This window comes from Homo sapiens, chromosome 10 (genome assembly GCF_000001405.40).
Source record: "Homo sapiens chromosome 10, GRCh38.p14 Primary Assembly".
Taxonomy (NCBI): Eukaryota; Metazoa; Chordata; class Mammalia; order Primates; family Hominidae; genus Homo; species Homo sapiens.
In genome coordinates, this window is record NC_000010.11 from 93,534,844 (window position 1) to 93,543,992 (window position 9,149).

At 43.4% G+C, this 9,149-nt stretch overlaps 1 annotated feature.

Moving 5' to 3' along the window:
• Positions 7,275-7,364: a silencer, noted in NCBI's record as "silent region_2629". NCBI's record gives its function as "represses an Ori minimal core promoter by ATAC-STARR-seq in GM12878 lymphoblastoid cells {active_cell/tissue: GM12878}" and the evidence as "EXISTENCE:reporter gene assay evidence [ECO:0000049][PMID:35858748]".

Sequence of the window (9,149 nt, forward strand, 5' to 3'; positions counted from 1 at the left end):
AAAATACACATCTAAGAAAGGAAAATAGAGCCACTCACAAGGGTAGCTCCCCAGGCAGGCCATGGAGCCTTTCCAAGACAGCCATGAGTTTGGTGCTGAGCTTTGCAGATGGTGGCACAAAGAAACCATCCTGGTCGCTTCAAAGATGGCCGAATAGGAATAGCTCTGGTCTATAGCTCCCAGTGAGATCGACACAGAAGACAGGTGATTTCTGCATTTCTAACTGAGGTACCTGGTTCATCTCATTGGGACTGATCAGACAGTGGTTGCAGCCCATGGAGGGCGAGCTGAAGCAGGGCAGGGCATCGCCTCACCTGGGAAGTGCAAGGGGTTGGGGGATTTCCCTTTCCTAGCCAAGGGAAGCCATAAGTGACTGGACCTGGAGAAGCAGTACACTCCTGCCCAAATACTGTGCTTTTCCCACGGTCTTTACAACCGTCAGACAAGGAGATCCCCTCCCATGCCTGGCTCAGTGGGTCCCATGCCCATGGAGCCTGGCTCGCTGCTAGCGCAACAGTCTAAGATTGACCTGGGACGCTGGAGCTTGGTGTGGGGAGGGGCATCCACCATTGCTGATGCTTGAGTAGGCAGTTCTATGCTCAAAGTGTAAACAAAGGGCAGGGGAGCTCAAACTGAGTGGAGCCCCCCACAGCTCAGCAAGGCCTACTGCCTCTCTAGATTCCACCTCTAGGGGCAGGGCGTATCTGAACAAAAGACAGCAGACAGCTTCTCCAGACTTAAAAGTCCCTGCCTAACAGCTCTGAAGAGAGCAGTGGCTCTCCCAGCACAGCGTTCAAACTCTGATAACAGACAGACTGCCTCCCCAAGTGGGTTCCTGACCCCCATGTAGCCTGACTGGGAGACACCTCCCAGTAGGGGCCAACAGACACCTCATGCAGGTGGGTGCCCCTCTGGGACCAAGCTTCCAGAGGAAGGATCAGGCAGCAATATTTGCTGTTCTGCAGCCTCTGCTAGTGATATCCAGGAAAACAGGGTCTGGAGTGGACCTCCAGCAAACTCCAACAGACTTGCAGCTGAGGGGCCTGTCTGTTAGAAGGAAAACTAACAAACAGAAAGGAATAGCATCAACATCAACAAAAAGAACATGCACACCAAAACCCCATCCGTAGGTAACCAACATCAAAGACCAAAGGTAGATAAAACCACAACGATGGGGAGAAACCAGAGCAGAAAGGCTGAAAATTCCAAAAAACCAGAACACGTCTTCTCTTCCAAAGGAACACAACTCCTCGCCAGCAAGGGAACAAAGCTGGACGGAGAATGAGTTTGATAAGTTGACAGAAGTAGGCTTCAGAAGGTCGGTAATAAACTTCTCCAAGCTAAAGGAGCATGTTCTAAACCATTGCAAGGAAGTAAAAAACCTTGAAAAAAGGTTAGACGAATGGCTAACTAGAATAAACAGTGTAGAGAAGAGCTTAAATGACCTGATGGAGCTGAAAACCACAGTACAAGAACTTCATGAAGCATACACAAGCTTCAATAGCTGATTCAATCAAGCAGAAGAAAGGATATCAGTGATTGAAGATCAAATCGATGAGATAAAGTGAGAAGACAAGATCAGAGAAAAAAGAGTGAAAAGAAACGAACAAAGCCTCCAAGAAATATGGGACTATGTGAAAAGACCAAATCTACGTCTCATTGGTGTACCTGAAAGTGACGGGGAGAATGAAACCAATTTAGAAAACACTCCTCAGGATATTATCCAGGAGAACTTCCCCAACCTAGCAAGGCAGGCCAACAGTCAAATTCAGGAAATACAGAGAACACCACAAAGATACTTGTAAGGAAGAGCAACCCAAAGACACATACTTTTCAGATTCACCAAGGTTGAAATGAAGGAAAAAATGTTAAGGGCAGCCAGAGAGAAAGGTCACGTTACCCTCAAAGGGAAGCCCATCAGACTAACAGCTGATCTCTCCACAGAAACTCTAAAAGCCAGAAGAGAGTGGGGGCCAATATTCAACATTCTTAAAAGAATTTTCAACCCAGAATTTCATATCTAGCCAAATTAAGCTTCATAAGTGAAGGAGAAATAAAATCCTTTACAGACAAGCAAATGCTGAGAGATTTTGTCACCACCAGGCCTGCCTTACAAGAGCTCCTGAAGGAAGCACTAAACATGGAAAGGAACAACCAGTACCAGCCACTGCAAAAACATGCCAAATTGTAAAGACCATCAATGCTATGAAGAAACTGCATCAATTAATGGGCGAAATAACCAGCTAGCATTATAATCACAGGATCAAATTCAAACATAACAATATTAACCTTAAATGTAAATGGGCTAAATGCCCCTATTAAAAGGATAAACAGTCAAGACCCGGCTGGGCATGGTGGCTCACGCCTGTAATCCCAGCACTTTGGGAGGCCGAGGTGGGTGGATCATGAGGTCAGGAGATTGAGACCATCCTGGCCAACATGGAGAAACCCTATCTCTACAAAAAATTAGCCTGGCGTGGTGGTGGGTTCCTGTAGTCCCAGCTACTCAGGAGTCTGAGGCAGGAGAATGGCGTGAACCCGATATGTGGAGCTTGCAGTGAGCCGAGATCACGCTGCTGAACTCCAGCCTGGGCGACAGAGTGAGACTCTGTCTCAAAAATAAAGAGTCAAGACCCATCTGTGTGCTGTATTCAGGAGACCCATCTCACGTGTAGAAACACACATAGGCTCAAAATAAAGGGATAGAGGAAGATCTATGAAGCAAATGGAAAGCAAAACAAAGGAGGGGCTACAATCCTGGTCTCTGATAAAACAGACTTTAAACCAACAAAGATCAAAAGAGACAAACAAGGCCATTACACAATGGTAAAAGGATCAATTCAACAAGAAGAGCTGACTATCCTAAATATATATGCACCCACTACAGGAGCAACCAGATTCATAAAGCAAGTTCTTAGAGACCTACAAAGAGACTTAGACTCCCACATGATAATAATGGGAGACTTTAACACCCCATTGTCAATATTAGACAAATCAACGAGACAGAAAATTAACCAGGATATCCAGGAGTTGAACTCAGCTCTGGACCAAGTGGAACTAATAAACATCTACAGAACTCTCCACCCCAAGTCAAAAGAATACACATTTTTCTCAGTACCACATCACACTTATTCTAAAATTGACCACATAATTGGAAGTAAAACACTCCTCAGCAAATGTAAAAGAACAGAAATCACAACCGTCTCTCAGACCACAGTGCAATCAAATTAGAACTCAGGATTAAGAATCTCACTCAAAACCGCACAACTACATGGAAACTGAACAGAATGACTACTGGGTAAATAACGAAATGAAGGCAGAAATAAAGATGTTCTTTGAAATCAATGAGAACAAAGACACAACGTACCAGAAGCTCTGGGACACATTTAAAACGGTGTGTAGAGAGAAATTTATAGCACTAAATGCCCACAAGAGAAAGCAGGAAAGATCTAAAATTGACACCCTAACATCACAATTAAAAGAACTCAAGAAACAAGAGCAAACAAATTCAAAAGCTAGCAGAAGACAAGAAATAACTAAGATCAGAGCAGAACAGAAGGAGATAGAGACACAAAAAAACCCTTCAAAAAATCAATGAATCCAGGAGCTGGTTTTTTGAAAAGATCAACAAAATTGATAGACCGCTAGCAAGACTAATAAAGAAGAAAAGAGAGAATAATCAAATAGACACAATAAAAAATGATAAAGGGTGTATCACCACCGATCCCATGGAAATGCAAACTACTATCAGAGAATAATAAAAACAACTCTACACAAATAAACTAGAAAATCCAGAATAAATGGATAAATTCCTGGACACATACACCCTCCCAAGACTAAACCAGGAAGAAGTTGAATCTCTGAATAGACCAATAACATGTTCTGAAATTGAGGCAGTAATTAATAGCCTACCAACCAAAAAAAGTCCAGGACCAGATGGATTCACAGCCAAATTCTACCAGAGGTACAAAGAGGAGTTGGTACCATTCCTTCTGAAACTATTCCAATCAACAGAAAAAAAGGGAATCCTCCCTAACTCATTTTATGAGGCCAGCAACATCCTGATACCAAAGCCTGGCAGAGACACAACAAAAAGAAAGATAATTTTAGGCCAATATCCCTGATGAACATTGATGCGAAAATCCTCAATAAAATACTGGCAAACCGAATCCAGCAGCACATCAAAAAGCTTATCCACTACGATCAAGTGGGCTTCATCCCTGGGATGTAAGGCTGGTTCAACATACGCAAATCAATAAACATAATCCATCACATAAACAGAACCAATGACAAAAAACACATGATTATCTCAATAGATGCAGAAAAGACCTTCAACAAAATTCAACAGCCTTTCACATTAAAAACTCTCAATAAACTAGGTATCGATGGAATGTATCTCAAACTAATAAGAGCTATTTATGACAAACCCACAGCCAATATCATACTGAATGGGCAAAAACTGGAAGCATTCCCTTTGAAAACCAGCACAAGACAAGGATGCCCTCTCTCACCACTCCTATTCAACATAGTATTGGAAGTTCTGGCCAGGGCAATAAGGCAAGAGAAAGCAATAAAGGGTATTCAATTAGGAAAAGGGGAAGTCAAATTGTCTCTGTTTGCAGATGACATGATTGTATATTTAGAAAACCCCATCATCTCAGCCTAAAGTCTCCTTAAGCTGATAAGCAACTTCAGCAAAGTCTCAGGATACAAAATCAATGTGCAAAAATCACAAGCATTCCTATACCCCAAGAACAGACAAACAGAGAGCCAAATCATGAGTGAACTCCCATTCGCAATTGCCACTAAGAAAATAAAATACCTAGGAATACAACTTACAAGGGATGTGAAGGAACTCTTCAAAGAGAACTACAAACCACTGCTCAAGGAAATAAGACAGGACACAAACAAATGGAAAAACATTCCATGCTCATGGATAGGAAGAATCAATATCATGAAAATGGCCATACTGACCAAAAAAATTTATAGATTCAATGCTATCCCCATCAAGCTACCACTGATTTTCTTTACAGAATTGGAAAAAACTACTTTAAACTTCATATGGAACCAAAAAAGAGCCCACATTGCCAAGACAATCCTGGGCAAGAAGAACAAAGCTGGAGGCATCACGCTACCTGACTTCAAACTTTACTACAAGGCTACAGTAACCAAAATGGCATGGTACTGGTACCAAAACAGATATATAGACCAATGGAACAGAACTGAGGCCTCAGAAATAACACCACACATCTACCACCATCTGATCTTTGACAAACCTGACACACACAAGCAATGGGGGAAAAGATTCCCTATTTAATAAATGGTGTTGGGAAAACTGGCTAGCCATATGCAGAAAACTGAAACTGGACCTCTTCCTTACACCTTATACAAAAATCAACTCAAGATGGATCAAAGACTTAAACGTAAGACCTAGGACCATAAAAATCCTAGAAGAAAACCTGGGCAACCTGGGCAATACCATTCAGGACATAGGCATGGGCAAAGACTTCATGTCTAAAACACGAAAAGCAATGGGAACAAAAGCCAAAATTGACAAATGGGATCTAGTTAAACTAAAGAGCTTCTGCACAGCAAAAGAAACTATCATCAGAGTGAACAGGCAACCTACAGAATGGGAGAAAAGTTTGAATCTATCCATCTGACAAAGGGCTAATATCCAGAATCTATAAAGAACTTAAACAAATTTACAAGAAAAAAGCAAACAACCCCATCAAAAAATGGGCAAAGGATATGAACAGACACTTCTCAAAAGAAGACATTTATGCAGCCAACAGACATACGAAAAAATGCTCATCATCACTGGTCATCAGAGAAATGCAAATCAAAACCACAATGAGATAGCATCTCATGCCAGTTAGAATGGCAATCATTAAAAAGTCAGGAAACAACAGATGCTGGAGAGGTTGTGGAAAAATAGGAACACTTTTACACTGTTTGTGGGAGTGTAAATTAGTTCAACCATTGTGGAAGACAGCGTGGCAATTCCTCAAGGATCTAGAACTAGAAATACCATTTGACCCAGTGATCCCATTACTGGGCATATACCCAAAGGATTATAAATCATTCTACAATAAAGACACATGCACATGTATGTTTATTGTGGCACTATTCACAATAGCAAAGACTTGGAACCAACCCAAATGTCCATCGATGATAGACTGGATTAAGAAAATGTGGCACATATACACCATGGAATACTATGCAGCCATTAAAAAGGATGAATTCATGTCCTTTGCAGGGACATAGATGAAGCTGGAAACCATCATTCTCAGCAAACTATCACAAGATCAGAAAACCAAACATCGCATGTTCTCACTCATAAGTGGTAGTTGAACAATGAGAACACATGGACACAGGGAGGGGAACACCACACACCGGGGCCTGTTGAGGGTGGGGGGCTACGGGAGGGATAGCATTAGGAGAAATACCTAATGTAGGTGACGGGTTGATGGCTGCAGCAAATCACCATGGCACCTGCATACCTATGTAACAAAACTGCAGGTTTTGCAGGTTTTGCACATGTAACCCAGAACTTAAAGTATAAAAAAAAAAAGAAAAAGAAAAAGAAAAAAAGAAACCATCCTGTACACCATTTAGAGGACTTAAAAACACAACTGATCCTCAGAAGAAACACAACTAGAAGCACTGTTGGTACTGAGACTAAAGAAATCCATTCCTCCACTGGGCCTCCACAGAGAAGAAACCATGTGGTGTAGTGGTCGATGTTCTCCACAGCAGTCCTGTCGTAAACACAGCAGTCAGTCCCACTTCACTGATTTTTTTTTTTCTTTTTTGAGACGGAGTTTCACTCTTGTCGCCCAGGCTGGAGTGCAATGGTGCGATCTCAGCTCACTGCAATCTCCGCCTCCCGGGTTCAGGCCATTCTCCTGCCTCAGCCTCCCGAGTAACTGGAATTATAGGCACCCGCCACCACGCCTGGCTAATTTTTTGTATTTTTAGTAGAGACAGGGTTTCACCATGTTGCCCAGGCTTGTCTCGAACTCCTGATCTCGTGATCCACCCTCCTCGGCCTCCCAAAGTCCTGGAGATTACAGGCGTGGGCCACAGCGCCAGACCCCACTGATTTCTTAATACCTTTCCACATAGGCAAGAAACCTCAGTACCAGAGGCTACTCCATAATTCTCAATGTCCAGTTACATCCAGCAGTTCTCTGCTGTTCTGGCTTATCCCAGAATAAATTTCAGGGTGAAGGGAGCCCCCTCTAACGCCCCCTCTGACGGGGGCCTGACAGGTTAAGGACCATGAGTCAGGCTGGCCACTGACGATCGCAGAGGCTGGAAATGCATGCTTTCACCCAAAGGGGGCGCAGCTGCTCAGCGCCAGCTGATGTCCCAGGGCGCTCTGAGTCCAGTGTAACTGATCTTTTTAGATTTTCCAAGAGAAATCTGGAATTTTGTTTGTTTGTTTGTTGGAATTTTAAAATATGAAATCTAATAAAAGTTTTAACACTGTGGGACAAACTCATTTTTCGGTTCGTAACGTTTGTTTGGAGCATCTGAATGGGGCAAAAGAAGAGTGATTCGCTCAGGCTGGGGTGGGAGGAAAACCAAGGAAGGTTCTTGGTTCCCTCCCGAGTCTTACGCCGGAGGTCTCCCCACGTCCAGTTCAATTAAAGAGTGCTGATGTCAATGACACCGTGAACACCACCCTCCCTGACCCTCCCCTTCCACCTGCCATCTGGCTTCTTTCCTGGCTACACTTCTTGGACAGAGAGCTGGCTGGCTGCCAGCATTTCCTGGCTACCCTCTGCTCCCCTAATCAGACAACCGAGGGAGTGTCAGGGCTGGAAAGGAACTGTGAGATCATCTACTCCAGTGTCTTTTGTCCAGGAAATCCCTCACTCATGGAGCTTGTTGAAAACGGTGGTTCTTTGGCTTCCCCCAAATCTCCTAAATCAGAACATCTGGAAGAAGCTGCATTTTTAACAAGCTCTCCAAAGCATCTCCAAAACATCTGATGCATTACTAAGATTGGAAACCTCTGATCTCATTTAACCCTGATGAAATGGAGTCCCAGAGAGGAAAGTGACTTTTCCAAGATCACAGAGCAGATTTGCAGGAGAGGGAAGGAGGCCCAGGCTCCCGAAGGCAATGGTTGTTAGGGCCCCTACCATCTGGGCTTGTATGACACAATTCCAGCAACTTCGTTCTTTCCAAGCCCCCCAGTGCTTCGTCTTCCTAAGGCAAACCTAGCGGTTTATTGGCTTGATTCCCTTCTTCTTTGTCCTCTGTGCTGTGCTCTCTGCTTTTGAATCTAATTATTTTTGGCCTTGATGGTTGAGTAGGAAATATTAGCAAGACATCCAAGGGGCGTCCTCTCTGCCATCCTGCCTGCAGATGGTAACACTGCAAATAAGTGGTAACACCCAAATAAGGGTGAAAGATCAAGACCAAGCTAGGGGTTTTTGTAGAGTGCATAGACAGAATCCAGAGAGATGACAAAGAAAGGAGTAGAGAGGACTGAGCCCTGGGGACTGTCCCATGATCCAGAAGTAGATAGGAGCACTCAGAATCACATTCATGTTGTGTCACCCAAATCAAGCAACCATAGAAAGAAGGAATGGTACGCCCCGAGGAGAAAGAGTTAGCACCTGATTATGGCCTTCACCTCCTCGCCCGCCAGGTTCACTAGATTGATTTCACCCCAGGAGCGGCACATCTCCTACTAAAACGTTTTAATAGGTATTACAGGTAAATTTGCTGAAGAAATCTTATCCCTTTCAGGTGATGTATCAAGCACTGATCTCGTCACTTGCTTCAGCAAATATTTAAACCATTTGCAACAAGCAAGGTGCCGTGCAAGGCTCTAGAGATGGAGAGAAGAGTAAAGCAGAGATCGTCTTCAGCAGAGCCATGGCCAGGCCGACATCAATGCAGATCAATGGCAGCACAATGAGGTAAATGCCACATTAAAGTCACCCCAAGGATGAGAGGACAGGCTTTCCAAACAAGGCCATGACTGAGCTAGGTTTAAGAAAACAAATGCTATTTCAGTACTAGTAGTATTTGTTCCTGGACTTAGGTTGCAAGTAAGTCATTAGGCAGAGCTTAAAGAAAAATATGCCTTGTATTTTATTGGTCACTTTTTGATGTCAAAGGATGAGGCT